The sequence below is a fragment of the Homo sapiens genome, chromosome 11 (genome assembly GCF_000001405.40).
Source record: "Homo sapiens chromosome 11, GRCh38.p14 Primary Assembly".
Lineage (NCBI taxonomy): Eukaryota > Metazoa > Chordata > Mammalia > Primates > Hominidae > Homo > Homo sapiens.
In genome coordinates this window covers 114527577-114544306 of record NC_000011.10, presented here as the reverse complement: position 1 = coordinate 114544306, position 16730 = coordinate 114527577, and the positions used below count along the sequence as shown (strand labels likewise).

General features: G+C 38.4%; 2 protein-coding genes across 12 annotated transcripts in view; one reads left to right on the top strand and one right to left on the bottom strand.

The window, feature by feature from the left end:
• NXPE2 (neurexophilin and PC-esterase domain family member 2) overlaps positions 1-16730 on the bottom strand; it is a 349427-nt gene that overhangs the window by 269396 nt on the left and 63301 nt on the right. For both annotated transcript variants that reach the window (XM_017017209.2, XM_017017207.2), the window contains 4 exons: positions 15283-15329; positions 14281-14373; positions 13792-13874; positions 3547-3669 (listed from right to left, as the gene is read on the bottom strand). The gene's annotated coding sequence lies outside the window, so the exon portion shown is untranslated. The remainder of the gene's footprint in view (positions 1-3546; positions 3670-13791; positions 13875-14280; positions 14374-15282; positions 15330-16730) is intronic.
• NXPE1 (neurexophilin and PC-esterase domain family member 1) overlaps positions 1-16730 on the top strand; it is a 40948-nt gene that overhangs the window by 15575 nt on the left and 8643 nt on the right. For 9 of the 10 annotated variants that reach the window (NM_152315.5, XM_011542598.4, NM_001367953.1 and 6 more), the window contains 2 exons: positions 13399-14132; positions 16406-16467. In NM_152315.5, the coding sequence (NP_689528.2) occupies positions 13726-14132; positions 16406-16467 (469 nt within the window). In that variant the 5' untranslated portion in view covers positions 13399-13725. Of the gene's footprint in view, positions 1-13398; positions 14133-15474; positions 15512-16405; positions 16468-16730 lie in introns of all 10 variants that reach the window. The other variant, XM_047426373.1, reaches the window with a different exon arrangement.

Sequence of the window (16730 nt, the reverse complement as noted above, 5' to 3'; positions counted from 1 at the left end):
ATTTTTCCCATTTTGTTCTTCTTTCTCAGAATTGAGTTATTTTGGTTCCTTTACCTTTCCATATAAAATTTCAGTCAGTTTGTTGATTGCTACAAAAAAATTGCTGGGATTTTTATTGAAATGGTATTGAATCAATAAATCAAGTTGGGAAGAACTGACATCCTAACAATATTTAGTCTGTCCAATCCATGAACATGGAATCTCTCTCCATTTATTTAGATTTTTTAAAATTTCTTCCATTAATGTTTCACAGCTTTCTACATACAGATCCTGTATATATTTTGTTAGATTTATACTTAAGTGCTTCACTTTTTTGGTGCTATTGTAAATGGTTTTCTTTTTTGTAATTTCAAATTCCAATTGTTCATTGCTAGTATATAGCAAAACAATTAAATTTTATATATTGACTTGTGTCCTGAAACCTTGCTATATTTACTTAGTAGTTCCAAGAATTTTCTATAGATTCTTTGGGTAGATTCTACGTAGACAGTCATGTAATTTGTTAATAAAAACAGCTTTACTTTTTCCTTTCCAATATGTATGTCTCTTATTTTTCCTTCTTGTTTTATTGTACTAGTTAGGACTTCCACTACATTGTTGAATAGGAGTGGTGAAAGAGGACATTCTTGACTGGTTCCAATATTGGGGAAGTGTTTAATCTCTCATTATTAAGTACCATTCTTCTTTGTTAAAAAATCTTTCTGAATCTGTGCCATAAGTATGTCTCTTATGTAAGCCACAGTGATTTGGCTTTGTTAACCAATCTAAAAAGATTTTTTTTTTTTTTAAACAGGGTCTCACTCTGTACCCCAGGCTGGAGTGCAGTGGCACAAACATGGCTCCCCAGGCTCAAGTCATCTTCCTGCCTCAGCCTCCTGAGTGGCTGGGGCTACAGGCACATACCACCACATCTAGCTAATATATAATATATATAATTATATATAATTAGAGTCTTGCTCTGTTGCCCAGGCTGGAGTGCATGGAATACAATGGTGCAATCTTGGCTCACTGCAACCTCTGCCTCCCAGGTTCAAGCAATTCTCCTGCCTCAGCCTCCTGAGTAGCTGGGATTACAGCTGCCCGCCACCATGCCCAACTAATTTTTGTATTTTTAGTAAACACAGAGTTTCACCATGTTGGCCAGGCTGGCCTCAAACTCCTGACCTCAACTGATCCGCCTGCCTCAGCCTCCCAAAGTGATTTCTTTATGTATTTTGTAGAGACAGTCTTGCCATATTTGCCCAGGCTGGTCTCAAACTCCTGGCCTCAAGTGATCCTCCTGCCTCAACCTCCCAAAGTGCTGGGATTATAGGCATAAGCCACTTTACCTGACCTGAAAATATACTTTAATTGGTGAGATAAGCTAATTTATATTTATTGATGTGGTAAATATGTTTGGTGTCAGTATGACATATTGTTTTGTGTTATAATCATATATATTCATGTCTTCATAGGGTCTAGTTTATTTGCTTGTTTTTTACTGTGATTTAGTGAGGTTTATATTTTTGTTCTAATGATTATGTTTATTTTAATCCATTATATAACCCTTCTTTACTTTTTTCTTGGTAAATGACTATTGCTTCCCTCTAATGAGCAATATTGAAAGTAACTATAAACCTCTTTTGCCCCAACTCTCCCTTTTCCTCAACATCTGATTTGAAGTAATGTCCTTTTACTTCAGTTAATAACTATAAGGCAAATGACAAGCTAATTCTGCTTTTCATAGCTCTCCCCACTCCCCCACCAATTTTTTATAGTTGTACTGTATCTACATTGTCAGAGCACACAACCATTGCATACTATTCTCTATTCCTTGTAAGCATAATTTAGACTTATTTCTGTAAATAAATATATGATTCATCCTTACCATAAATCCTCATATCAAACTTTTCAATTATGTTGGTTGTTTAATGTTCATGCTGTTTAGTAGATTCCTTAGGAACGATCTGGGAAAAATAGTCCCTGAATTCTAATGTTTTCATTAGAACTTGCCTGTGACTCTTATAATTAAAGGTCAGTTTGTCTTCTTATAAAATTTCTGGCTCATATTTTCTTTCCTTGATTTTCTTAAACATTTTACTCTACAAATTTTGACAAAATATTGATGTTAAAAAGTAAAGAAAATAGAATTTAAGAAAAGACATAAATAAGGATAAAGTGAGATGCTACATAAGGAACAATTTACAAAGCAGATATAATAATCATAAATGTGAATGACCCTAGCAAAAAATCTCAACATACAAAAGTGGGAACAGTCAGAATTACAAGCTAAAATTGATATAGCCACAGCCATAGTGGGAATTTTTATTATGCCTCTTTCAGAAACTTATAAATCAAAAAGACCTTAACTTAGTAAATGGAGATAAGGTCTAAACACAATTGATAAACATAAACTTGATCTAACAGATAAACATTGAGAAGCAGGGAGGCAGTTTAGCATAGTGAATTAAGAGATATATTTTTATCTCAGATATTGTTTGGTTCTTTTGTAAAATTTGTTTGGTTCTTTCTGAGGACTAAGCTCTGATTTTTTATCTTGCTCAAATTCTTCTATTAATCTCAGGTCTTTATACAAACTCAACCAATTGTCAACCAGAAATGATTAAATTTACCTATAGCCTGGAAGCACCATCCCCCCCACTTCAAATTGTCCTGCCTTTCTGGAACAAACCAATGTATTTTTCAAATGTATTTGATTGATGTTTCATGCCTCCCCAAAATGTATATAACCAAGCTGAACCCCAACCACCTTGGGCACATGTTCTCAGGACCTCCTGACGGCTGTGTCACGTGTCGTGGTCGCTCATATTTGGCTCAGAATAAATCTATTCAAATATTTTACAGAGTTTGACTCTTTTCATCGACATTTCTAAATATTTCTCCATCCTTGCTGAGATTTCTTATCTTTCCATTCATTACAACATATTTTCTTTTACCTCATTGAGCATAGTTATAATAGCTGTTTCATAGTCCTTGTCTGATCAGGCCAACATCTATGTTATCTCAGGGTTGGCTTCCATTAATTGTCTTATCTTTTGCAAAGGACTGCCTTTTTCTGGTTCCTCCTATGCTGAGTAATTTTGAATTGTGACTGTTATGTTGTGGAAACCACGGATTCCGTTTTACTCCTCAGAATAGTGTCGATGTTTTTGCTATGGCAGGCAATCGATTAACTTGGTTCAACTCAAACTGCAAACTGACCCAACCTGTGGTTATAAGTAAATCACATCTCAGTTGAGTTCTGACTAGCTGCAGATTGCTTTGGGTCTACCCCACAGGTGTGCCTCAGGGGTCAGCTAGAGATCTAAGCAAAGTTCATACTCAGAAATTGCGGCATGACCTTCTCTGCCTCTGTTCTGGGATTTCCCCCTCCATCCAGTGACTGTGTTGCTGCAGACTCTGCTCTCAGGTTGTTCAAGCCAAAAAAAAAAAAAAAAAAAAAAAAAAAAAAAAAAAAAAAAAAAAAAAAGATGGCTTTCTATTGTGTTTTAGCTACTCTGCTAGTAGACTGCCCTCAGGCTAACACATCAAAACCAGGAAACTTACCTCCTCTTAATGGCACCTTCTTCCAAGTTTCATCTTCCCACCAAAACTTGCCTGCTTTTGTTCACTGTCTTTAGCCTTCAGGTACTTGTTTTTGGCATTTCGTTCAGAGTTGAACATTGCAATCTGAAAGAGAGTCACAAGTTACTTGGTCATATTGAAACAGAACTCTTTTGTTATACTTAAAAAAAAATTATTTCCCATCCATACTCTCCTTCCTCTTTTCCCATACGCACCCATTCCATACTAGTTATTTCTCAGTGTTTCAATTCTTATTCAATACATGTATTTATGTATATATGTGGACTAGGAAGATATATAGTTATGAGTTAGTGTTTGTATTTATTTTAATTTACATACTTAATTTTTTCATTCAAAATTGTTTTTTGAAATCTAATCATGTTGCTATATGTAAATGTAGTTCATGATGTCTGAGAATTGCATGTATTTCATTCTATGAATATACAAAGTTTAACTTATCCAGTCTCCTAAACAAATTGGATTTATTGGCCGGGCATGGTGGCTCACACCGTAATCCCAGCACTTTGGGAGGCCGAGGCAGGCAGATCACTTGAGGTCAGGAGTTTGAGGCCAGCCTGGCCAACATGGTGAAACCCCATCTCTACTAAAAATAGAAAAAATTAGTCAGGCATGATGGCAGGCGTCTGTAATCCCAGCTATTCAGGCGGCTGAGGCAGGAGAATCGCTTTGGAGGTCTTATTTAAGAAATACTTACTGATGTGAGGTCATAAGGAAATTATAAATGTCTTTATATTGAACTTTTAGTTACAATATTCGTATTAAGGTCTTTAATGCATTTGGAACTTTAGTATGTAGTGTGTGATAGGAATCTTTGGGTTTTTTTCAATATAGTGAAACCATTTTCTTGATACAATTTACGAAATATAATTTTCTGATTTCTGATGGTACCATTAACCTATAATAAACTTCAAGTCTGCTTCTAAGGTATCTACTTCTTTTGATTGGTTTATTTGACTGATATTGCACTTTACAATTATATTTTATTTCAATAATTTACACTAGGGCTAGTATTTTTTAAATAGTTCCTCTTTATAAATGATTATATTCCCTAAAATTTTGGAATTAGTTAATCAGATTCCATCTCCCATCTTAAGAATTTAATTAGAAATACAGAAAATTTTTAATTTTTTTTGAGAGAGAATTAACAACTTTATCATGTTAAGCCTTACCACATTTCAAAGTGCTACATCTTTCCATTCATTCAGACCTTTAAAAAATATCCTTAAAAGAGTTTTCAAAATACCTCCATTAAGGACAGAGCTTCCTCAATTGTATTTTCTTTGTTATTATTATACTTTAAGTTTTAGGGTACATGTGCACAACGTGCAGGTTTGTTACATATGTATACATGTGCCATGTTGGTGTGCTGCACCCATTAACTCGTCATTTAGCAATAGGTATATCTCCTAATGCTATCCCTCCCCCCTCCCCAGACCACACAACAGTCCCCAGTGTGTGATGTTCCCCTTCCTGTGTCCATGTGTTCTCATTGTTCAATTCCCACCTATGAGTGAGAACATGCGGTATTTGGTTTTTTGTCCTTGTGATAGTTTGCTCAGAATGATGGTTTCCAGCTTCATCCATGTCCCTAAAAAGGACAGGAACTCATTATTTTTTATGGCTGCATAGTATTCCATGTGTATATGTGCCACATTTTCTTAATCCAGTCTATCATTGTTGGACATTTGGGTTGGTTCCAAGTCTTTGCTATTGTGAATAGTGCCTCAATAAACACACGTGTGCATGTGTCTTTATAGCAGCATGATTTATAATCCTTTGGGTATATACCCAGTAATGGGATGGCTGGGTCAAATGGTATTTCTAGTTCTAGATCCCTGAGGAATCACCACACTGACTTCCACAATGGTTGAACTAGTTTACAGTCCCACCAACAATGTAAAAGTGTTCCTATTTCTCCACATCCTCTCCAGCACCTGTTGTTTCCTGACTTTTTAATGATCGCCATTCTAACTGGTGTGAGATGGTATCTCATTGTGGTTTTGATTTGCATTTCTCTGATGGCCAGTGATGATGAGCATTTTTTCACGTGTTTTTTGGCTGCATAAATAAATGTCTTCTATTGAGAAGTGTCTGTTCATATCCTTCGCCCACTTTTTAATGGGGTTGTTTGTTTTTTTCTTATAAATTTGTTTGAGTTCATTGTAGATTCTGGATATTAGCCCTTTATCAGATGAGTAGGTTGCAAAAATTTTCTCCCATTTTGTAGGTTGCCTGTTCACTCTGATGGTGGTTTCTTTTGCTGTGCAGAAGCTCTTTAGTTTAATTAGATCCCATTTGTCAATTTTGGCTTTTGTTGCCATTGCTTTTGGTGTTTTAGACATGAAGTCCTTGCCCATGCCTATGGCCTGAATGGTACTGCCTAGGTTTTCTTCTAGGGTTTTTATGGTTTTAGGTCAAACATGTAAGTCTTTAATCCATCTTGAATTAATTTTTGTATAAGGTGTAAGGAAGGCATCCAGTTTCAGCTTTCTACATATGGCTAGCCAATTTTCCCAGCACCATTTATTAAATAGGGAATCCTTTCCCCATTTCTTCTTTTTGTCAGGTTTGTCAAAGATCAGATAGTTGTAGATATGTGGCATTATTTCTGAGGGCTCTGTTCTGTTCCATTGGTCTACATCTCTGTTTTGGTACCAGTACCATGCTGTTTTGGTTACTGTAGCCTTGTAGTATAGTTTGAAGTCAGGTAGCGGGATGCCTCCAGCTTTGTTCTTTTGGCTTAGGATTGACTTGGCAATGTGGGCTTTTTGGTTCCATATGAACTTTAAAGTAGTTTTTTCCAATTCTGTGAAGAAAGTCATTGGTAGCTTGATGGGGATGGCATTGAATCTATAAATTACCTTGGGCAGTATGGCCATTTTCATGATACTGATTCTTCCTACCCATGAGCATGGAATGTTCTTCCATTTGTTTGTATCCTCTTTTATTTCATTGAGCAGTGGTTTGTAGTTCTCCTTGAAGAGGTCCTTCACATCCCTTGTAAGTTGGATTCCTAGGTATTTTATTCTCTTTGAAGCAATTGTGAATGGGAGTTCACTCATGATTTGGCTCTCTGTTTGTCTGTTACTGGTGTATAAGAATGCTCGTGATTTTTGCACATTGATTTTGTATCCTGAGACTTTGCTGAAGTTGCTTATCAGCTTGAGGAGATTTGGGGCTGAGACAATGGGGTTTTCTAGATATACAATCATGTCATCTGCAAACAGGGACAATCTGACTTCCTCTTTTCCTAATTGAATGCCCTTTATCCCCTTCTCCTGCCTCATTTTCTTGGCCAGAACTTCCAACCCTATGTTGAATAGGAGTGTTGATAGAGGGCATCCCTGTCTTGTGCCAGTTTTCAAAGGGAATGCTCCCAGTTTTTGTCCATTCAGTATGATATTGGCTGTGGGGTTGTCATAGATAGCTCTTATTATTTTGAGATATGTCCCATCAATACCTAATTTATTGAGAGTTTTTAGCATGAAGGGTTGTTGAATTTTGTCAAAGGCCCTTTCTGCATCTATTGAGATAATCATCTGGTTTTTGTCTTTGGTTCTGTTTATATGCTGGATTACATTTATTGATTTGCATATGTTGAACCAGCCTTGCATCCCAGGGTTGAAGACCATTTGATCACGGTGGATAAGCTTTTTGATGTGTTGCTGGATTCGGTTTGCCAGTATTTTATTGCGGATTTTTGCATCAATGTTCATCAAGGATATTGGTCTAAAATTCTCTTTTTTTGTTGTGTCTCTGCCAGGCTTTGGTATCAGGATGATGCTGGCTTCATAAAATGAGTTAGGGAGGATTCCCGTTTTCTACTGATTGGAATAGTTTCAGATGGAATAGTACCAGCTCCTCTTTGTACCTCTGGTAGAATTCGGCTGTGAATCCATCTGGTCCTGGACTTTTTTTGGTTGGTAAGCTATTAATTATTGCCTCAATTTCAGAGCCTGTTATTGGTCTATTCAGAGATTTAACTTCTTCCTGGTTTTGTCTTGGGAGAGTGTATGTGTCAAGGAATTTATCCATTTCTTCTAGATTTTCTAGTTTATTTGCATAGAGGTGCTTATAGTATTCTCTGATGGTAGTTTGTATTTCTGTGGGATCGGTGGTGATATCCCCTTTGTCATTTTTTATGGCGTCTATTTGATTCTTCTCTCTTTTCTTCTTTATTAGTCTTGCTAGCGGTCTATCAATTTTGTTGATCTTTTCAAAAAACCAGCTCCTGGATTCATTGATTTTTTTGAAGGGTTTTTTGTCTCTATTTCCTTCAGTCCTGCTCTGATCTTAGTTATTTCTTGCCTTCTGCTAGCTTTTGAATATGTTTGCTCTTGCTTCTCTAGTTCTTTTAATTGTGATGTTAGGGTGTCAATTTTTCATCTTTCCTGCTTTCTCTTGTGGGCATTTAGTGCTATAAATTTCCCTCTACACACTGCTTTGAATATGTCCCAGAGATTCTGGTATGTTGTGTCTTTGTTCTCATTGGTTTCAAAGAACATCTTCATTTCTGCCTTCATTTCATTATGTACCCAGTAGTCATTCAGAAGCAGGTTGTTCAGTTTCCATGTAGTTGAGGGGTTTTGAGTGAGTTTCTTAATCCTGAGTTCTAGTTTGATTGCACTGTGGTCTGAGAGACAGTTTGTTATAATTTCTGTTCTTTTACATTTGCTGAGGAGTGCTTTACTTCCAACTATGTGGTCAATTTTGGAATAGGTTTGGTGTGGTGCTGAAAAGAATGTATATTCTGTTGATTTGGGGTGGAGAGTTCTGTAGATGTCTATTAGGTCTGCTTGGTGCAGAGCTGAGTTCAATTCCTGTATATCCTTGTTAACTTTCTGTCTCGTTGATCTGTCTAATGTTGACAGTGGGGTGTTAACGTCTCCCATTATTATTGTGTCGGAGTCTAAGTCTCTTTGTAGGTCACTAAGGACTTGCTTTATGAATCTAGGTGCTCCTGTATTGGGTGCATATATATTTAGGATAGCTAGTTCTTCTTGTTGAATTGATTCCTTTACCATTATGTAATGGCCTTCTTTGTCTCTTTTGATCTTTGTTGGTTTAAGTCTGTTTTATCCGAGACTAGGATTGCAATCCCTGCATTTTTTTGTTTTCCATTTGCTTGGTAGATCTTCCTCCATCCCTTTATTTTGAGCCTATGTATGTCTCTGCATGTGAGATGGGTTTCCTGAATACAGCACACTGATGGGTCTTGACTCTTTATCCAATTTGCCAGTCTGTGCCTTTTAATTGGAGCAATTTAGCGCATTTACATTTATGGTTAGTATTGTTATGTGTGAATTTGATCCTGTCTTTATGATGTTAGCTGGTTATTTTGCTCGTTAGTTGATGTAGTTTCTTCCTAGCCTTGATATTCTTTACAATTTGGCTTGTTTTTGCAGTGGCTGGTACCGGTTGCTCCTTTCCATGTTTAGTGCTTCCTTCAGGAGCTCTTTTAGGGCAGGCCTGGTGGTGACAAAATCTCTCAGCATTTGCTTGTCTGTAAAGTATTGTATTTCTCCTTCACTTATGAAGCTTAGTTTGGTTGGATATGAAATTCTGGGTTGAAAGTTCTTTTCTTTAAGAATTTTGAATATTGGTCCCCACTCTCTTCTGGCTCGTAGAGTTTCTGGCAAGAGATCAGCTGTTAGTCTGATGGGCTTCCCTTTGTGGGTAACCCGACCTTTCTCTCTGGCTGCCCTTAACATTTTTTCCTTCATTTAAACTTTGGTGAATTTGACAATTATGTGTCGTGGAGTTGCTCTTCTCTAGGAGTATCTTAGTGGCGTTCTCTGTATTTCCTGAATTTGAATGTTGGCCTGCCTTGCTAGATTGGGGAAGTTCTCCTGGATAATATCCTGCAGAGTGTTTTCCAACTTGGTTCCATTCTCCCCGTCACTTTCAGGTACACCAATTAGACGTAGATTTGGTCTTTTCACATAGTCCCATATTTCTTGGATGCTTTGTTTCTTTTTATTCTTTTTTCTCCAAACTTCTCTTCATGCTTCATTTCATTCATTTCGTCTTCCATCACTGATACCCTTTCTTCCAGTTGATCACATCGGTTACTGAAGCTTGTGCATTTGTCACGTAGCTCTCGTGCTGTGGTTTTCAGCTCCATCAGGTCCTTTAAGGACTTCTCTGCATTGATTATTCTAGTTATCCATTCATCTAATTTTTTTTCAAAGTTTTTAACTTCTTTGCCATTGATTCGAACTTCCTCCTTTAGCTCAGAGTAGTTTGATCTTCTGAAGCCTTCCTCTCTCAACTCGTCAAAGTCATTCTCCGTCCAGCTTTGTTCTGTTGCTGGTGAGGAGCTGCGTTCCTTTGGAGGAGAAGAGGCGCTCTGATTTTTAGAGTTTCCGGTTTTTCTGCTCTGTTTTTTCCCCATCTTTGTGATTTTATCTACCTTTGGTCTTTGATGATGGTTATGTACAGATGGGTTTTGGGTGTGGATGTCCTTTCTGTTTGTTAGTTTTCCTTCTAACAGTCAGAACCCTCAGCTGCAGGTCTGTTGGAGTTTACTGGAGGTCCACTCCAGACCTTGTTTGCCTGGGTATCAGCAGTGGTGGCTGCAGAACAGCGGATATTGGTTAACCGCAAATGCTGCTGCCTGATCGTTCCTCTGGAAGTTTTGTCTCAGAGGAGTACCCGGCAGTGTGAGGTGTCAGTCTGCCCCTACTGGGGGGTGCCTCCCAGTTAGGCTACTTGGGGGTCAGGGACCCACTTGAGGAGGCAGTCTGCCCATTCTCAGATCTCAAGCTGCATGCTGGGAGAACCACTGCTCTCTTCAAAGCTGTCAGACAGGGACATTTAAGTCTGCAGAGGTTACTGCTGTCTTTTGTTTGTCTGTGCCCTGCCCCCAGAGGTGGAGCCTAAAGAGGCAGGCATGCCTCCTTGAGCTGTGGTGGGCTCCACCCAGTTTGAGCTTCCCGGCCGCTTTGTTTACCTACTCAAGCCTGAGCAATGGTGGGTGCCCCTCCCCTAGTCTTGCTGCCGCCTTGCAGTTTGATCTCAGATTGCTGTGCTAGCAATGAGCAAGGCTCCGTGGGCGTAGGACCCTCTGAGCCAGGTGCGGGATATAATCTCCTGGTGTGCTGTTTGTGAAGCCCATTGGAAAAGCGCAGTATTAGGGTGGGAGTGACCCGATTTTCCAGGTGCCATCTGTCACCCCTTTCTTTGACTAGGAAAGGAAATTCCCTGACCGCTTGTGCTTCCCGGGTGAGGCGATGCCTCGCCCTGCTTCAGCTCATGCACGGTGTGCTGCATCCACTGTCCTGCACCCACTGTCCGGCACTCCCCATGAGATGAACCAAGTACCTCAGTTGGAAATTCAGAAATCACCCGTCTTCTGCATCACTCATGCTGGGAACTGTAGACTGGAGCTGTTCTTATTCTGCCATCTTGGCTCCACCCCGCTCGAATGTATTGTCTATAATTTAAATGCTTTTGAGTTTGTGAGTTTGTTTTGTATTCGGCTTCTTGCTATCTTAATACTAATAATTTGCTAACTCTGGTTTCTTTGCAAACAGTCACAACATCTATAAAAAATAAAGAAAAGAAGGGAAAAAAAGTCTGTTTCTCCCCCCATCATTCTCATACCTTGGATTTTTGTTTGTTTGTTTTATTTTATTGTTCAGGACTTCTAACGTTATGTTGAACATTAATTCAGTTAATTGTGGCTAACATCCTTGCCTCCTTGACTTTTAAAATGTTTAAGGTTTCCTATTACTGAATTGTAATGCTAAGTAAATGTTGAAATACATCAAATCCTTTTATTGCAGCTGCAATCCAATCAGATAAGTCTGAGAACAGTGAAAAATCATGAGATTTTATCTTTAATCCATTAATATATAAATTATACTACAAGATTTTTCACTCTAGAACCATTTTTACAACCCTGAATTCACCCATAATCAACCATGACAAATGCACACACACCTGTATATATTTATCTAATCTACCTATATACTTTTATATGTATATGCATATATGCACATACACACAGAGAGAAAGAGACAGAGAATTTAAAAGTCATCTCCATGAATAAAATGGGCCTGTACTTTTCTTGTATCATACTTACCTAGTTTTAGTATAAAATATATTCCATTCTTATAAAATTAATTGGTTTGTTTTTCCTTGTTATATAAGTTAGGGATGTCTGTACTCACCAATAAAAGCATCTCAGCCTGTGACTTGTGGAGGTGGGAAAAATAGAAAAAGGTTTATCATCATGATGATTATATTCTTATTCTTACTGTTATATATTACATGATTATTTTCTATTCTATTTTTATATTGTATTTTTATCTATTTTATAATGTAAGTTTTTTATATTTTCCAGATATATATTTTCCAGAGAACCAAAAGGTTCTTTTGGGGGAATTTCATTTATTTGCATCTCTATTTCTTGGTTGGCATTGCCAATGATTTGTCTTTTGGCTTTGCCAAGGTTTTTTCAAAACTTCAATGTGGGTTCTGTTCATCTTTTTTAAATGATATCTCATTGTCTTGTTTCTCCTCTCCTTTGGCTTACTCTGCCAGTTTGTTACCAATCACAAGGGTTTTATTGCCCAATGCTGGGGTGCAGTGCAGCCAGGCCTGAATTTTTTTCAAAGCTTTATATGTGTTCTAAAGTGTGAGAGGGGATGACAACTACTGGTCTGTAATCATTCTCAAATCTATCTGATCCTAAGATTGCTTTTGAGGCTTTTGGAAAACATACTCCTGGACAACATAATGTAGTGATTATGAATCAGCTGATCTAGACTGAAGCCTAAGAGTGCATATTTTTAAAAAAGCTTGGCCGGTGTTTCTGACTACCAGCAAGATTGGAAAATCACTGAATTTGAGTGCTTATAAAGCACCGTATAGTGCCAAAAGCATAAGTGACCTCTGAGGTTGTAGTGATTTCTAAGGTAGAAGTTAAGAGATGTTTAGGTGGTTTGGGGGAATTCAGGGGATATTCAGCAATCCAGGAAGAGGAGAAAGTATTAGTAAAGAGCAAGAGCTGAAAGACAGGAAGGTCAGCTCCTAAAAATAAAAGAAGTCTTGTCAAGACATCAAAAGCAAGGAAGAGAGTAGCAAGAAGTAGAGTTGAAAATAGGCCACAGAAAAAGCCATATTACAAATGGATTTTACCCAAGAATTACAAGAAGCCATTGAAGGGGGTTAAGTTGGGAGATGACACAAATAGAGTTTTGCTTTAAAAAGGACTGGTTTAGCAACAGAAGAGGAAATTAAATGGAGAGAAAGCAGGACTGTCTTCCTTGAAGCCTGAAGACAGTCATCATCCTTGAGGTGGCCACTATAATCCAGGAGATAAATGACGGTGGCTTGAACTGTGATACAGCTGGAGAGAAAAAGACTACTAGGCATGACTAAAAGGTACAGATGTTACTGGATGTAAGGCATATATGAAAAGAAAGAGTAAACTTATCATCACCAGTTTATTGCTCATAATTATTCTCTGAGCTATATATTTTGGATTGAATATATCTACAACTGTTCAGACATTCTCTAAAATATTGAGGTAAAAGCATAAATGTTTACATTTTATACAAAATTATCACAATTTAAATAATATTGATAATAATATATAATAATATTATATCATCATCATAATATCTCATTTCCTTGTTTCTCTTCTCTTTTGGTTTATTATGCCACTTTATTACCAAATATTCAATTTGGTAACAAATTGAATTCAATTATACAAATATTCACTGTAAACAAATATTCAAACTCATAATAAGTAAAAATGATTAGACAGGTTAATTTCATAGTATATCACAATCCTTGTCATTTCAGCTTTGGTCTGCTCTAAACTTATCCATCTCTGTCCATTACTGGAACAACTCCGCAAAGTCCTTATTCCCTAAAACATCACTGATACCATTAAAGCCACTAACAGAGACTGAACTCAGAATAAAGGAAATCATAGAGAAACTAGATCAGCAGATCCCACCCAGACCTTTCACCCATGTGAACACCACCACCAGTGCCACACACAGCACAGCCACCATCCTCAACCCTCGAGATACATACTGCAGGGGAGACCAGCTGGACATCCTACTGGAGGTGAGGGACCACTTGGGACAGAGGAAGCAATATGGTGGGGATTTCCTGAGGGCCAGGATGTCCTCCCCAGCACTGACGGCAGGTGCTTCAGGAAAGGTGATGGACTTCAACAATGGCACCTACCTGGTCAGCTTCACTCTGTTCTGGGAGGGCCAGGTCTCCCTGTCTCTGCTGCTCATCCACCCCAGTGAAGGGGCGTCGGCTCTCTGGAGGGCAAGGAACCAAGGCTATGATAAAATTATTTTCAAAGGCAAATTTGTTAATGGCACCTCTCATGTCTTCACTGAATGTGGCCTGACCCTAAACTCAAATGCTGAACTCTGTGAATATCTGGATGACAGAGACCAAGAAGCCTTCTATTGTATGAAGCCTCAACACATGCCCTGTGAGGCTCTGACCTACATGACCACCCGGAATAGAGAGGTATCTTATCTTACAGACAAGGAAAACAGCCTTTTCCACAGGTGAGTATACTTTTCATGTATACTGAGAAGTGTCCCCTGAGAAGTGCCCCAGTCAGAGCTACATTGCCCATTGCAACATTGAGCATGACTCAGAGGCCTCCTGTACTCAAGGTAAGACATGTGGTGTCTTCTTGGGGCCTCTACTCACCACTCTAGGCCAAAGTTTGCATTTTCACTATATTGTCCCATTCAGTCATGTGTTTTGCTATAACCGTTCTTCTATGTGTTCACAGATGTTCCACTGAAAAAAAGATTCCTTGATAAGTGTATGATAACATCCATGCTCCTTCACCTCCCATATCATATTTTGTTAATTTTGCCCCTTAAATATCTTTGCGTTGATCCATTTCCCCCCACGCACAGTGCTGCTATTCAAGTTCAGACCATCATCATCTTATCTAGATTACCCATACCAGCTTCCCAACTGGTCTCTCTCCCAGCAGTCATACCCTCTCTAATCCATTCTCTACACTGAGTGATCTTTCTAAAAAGCCAATTCCTACTGGTTTTCTCCAGTTGATCCCATGATCAGATATTCCTCAGTATATACCTCTCAGGGTGGAGGAGTCCTTCTTACTCCTCATGTTGTGACCTAGTGATTCCTGCAAACCCCTGGTTCAACAGGCCTCCACAAACTGGGATGGAAGCATGTTTCCTCTATCAATCATGGCTGTGGCAATGCCATGCTTTTCTCCCCCGACTCACAGAGGCTCACTTCCTGGTTTCCCTGTTATCCACTAACCTGAAAACCACTTTGTTGATTAGAATGAAACATCAGGGTTCCTTCATGGGCTACTTTGAGGATTTGCAAAGGATAACTATCTGTTATCACAAATCCCAGAACTGTGAGCCAAGCCCTAAGACTTCTATCAGTTCCAGAGACTTTTGCTCATTTGCTAACTTTGCATAAGTCTCAGAGGCTCAGTCCATTTCCTTTTCTCTTTCAATTCTGCCAGTACCCTTTTATTTTCCCCCACGAAGATTTATTTTTCCTCAGCTTGGTGACAGAGTAGAATGCTAGGTTCACAGAAATCCCTTTCTAGCAGTTTTCAAAGTCAAGTTTAGAGTCTTTTTTCCATAAGCTTTCAAAAAAAATATGCTAAGAGTAGGCACCAAACATGACAAAATAACATGCATTCCAGAATCTTACCTCATTATCCAAGTTTTGGCTCCTGATCTATAGTCCCTGGCTCCCTTCTGAAAAGTAAAAGCACAGTTAAGTTTCTGTTCCCTCCCTTTTATCTCTGATGGTACATCTCATCAAATCTCTTCCTACCCATCAACCATCCTTATGCCTAAATCCTAGTAAGGATGAAAACATGCTGATCCTTTCTCTTCTCAGGATGGCACCTGGAGAGACATCTATAGCAGGAAATCAGGTACCACTTATATCTGTTATACTTGGCACCTGGGTCCTCATTCTCCCCTTAATCCCTTTCTTCCTTCCTCCACTTTCATGGCCATATACAGAGGTTTGAAACAAAGTGTGAGTAAGAGCTTTCAAGCAGGAAGAGTGATCTTTCATCAATTGGAGGAAAGAAATGTAAGGTACATTTATTAACACATCGGATTCAACACTACTTTCTGCCAGTCACTTTGATAGATATTAAGGATACAGCAGTGGACCAGACACACACATTACCTTCCTTCATAAAGCTTATGATCTTCAGAAAGCAAGTTTGTCAGAAAAGTCAAAGGTAATCATAGCAGGAAATGTGGATTAAAAATGAAGCAGAGGCCCTCTGATAAAAGGTCTACCTGCCACCCAAAAAGGCTGGATTCCTTGGGTACATGATGGGGAGACAATAAAGGGATGTAAGCAGTAGTGCAGTTGGATTTGCAATGAGAAAGGGTGCTCTGGCAGTCGTATTGAAAAATTTAGGTGGGATAAAACTGAGACTTGCATGACCAATTAGAGGCTCACAGTAATCCAAGGAAACTATTCTGCAAACTTGAATAGGAGATGTGGAAGCAGAAAGAGAGAAGAGAACTTGTAAATTAGATAAATATTTTGAATCTAAAATTCCAGGACACACTGATTACATGTGGCAGATCGGTAGAGCTGCTTTGGACTTCAGGTGCTCTCAGCAGGGTAGAAAGTCTTCCAAAATCCTCACTCATTTACAATACCCAATATATCTAAAATTTACAACAATAATAACAGCTTCCAGTTATAGAAAACTAAAAATTTTCCTTCACTCACAAGCAGATGATTCACCTGTGTTACATGGGCAGAGAGCAGGCTAATTTATTGTTCTATTTTTTTTTTGAAGGTCCAAAGTGGGAGTTGAAATGATGAAGGATCGTAAACACATTGATGTCACTAATTGTAACAGTAAGTTGGCTCTGTCCTGAGTTAGGTGATGCTCAGAGGAAACTTTTATCAGCATTAACCTAAATAATTGTAGTTCTCCTGGAGCACAATTCCTAGCAGATGTCTATGATGTCAATCATGCTGGACTTTAAAGGGAGAAATGAACTCAAGGAAATGATTTCAAAATGTTTATAGGAGATTACATCTTGATATATCCAAAAGGAGAAAGTATTAGTATCTACATTCGTGTTTAAACCTGAGAGTTCATCTCCTAGAGTCTTAGG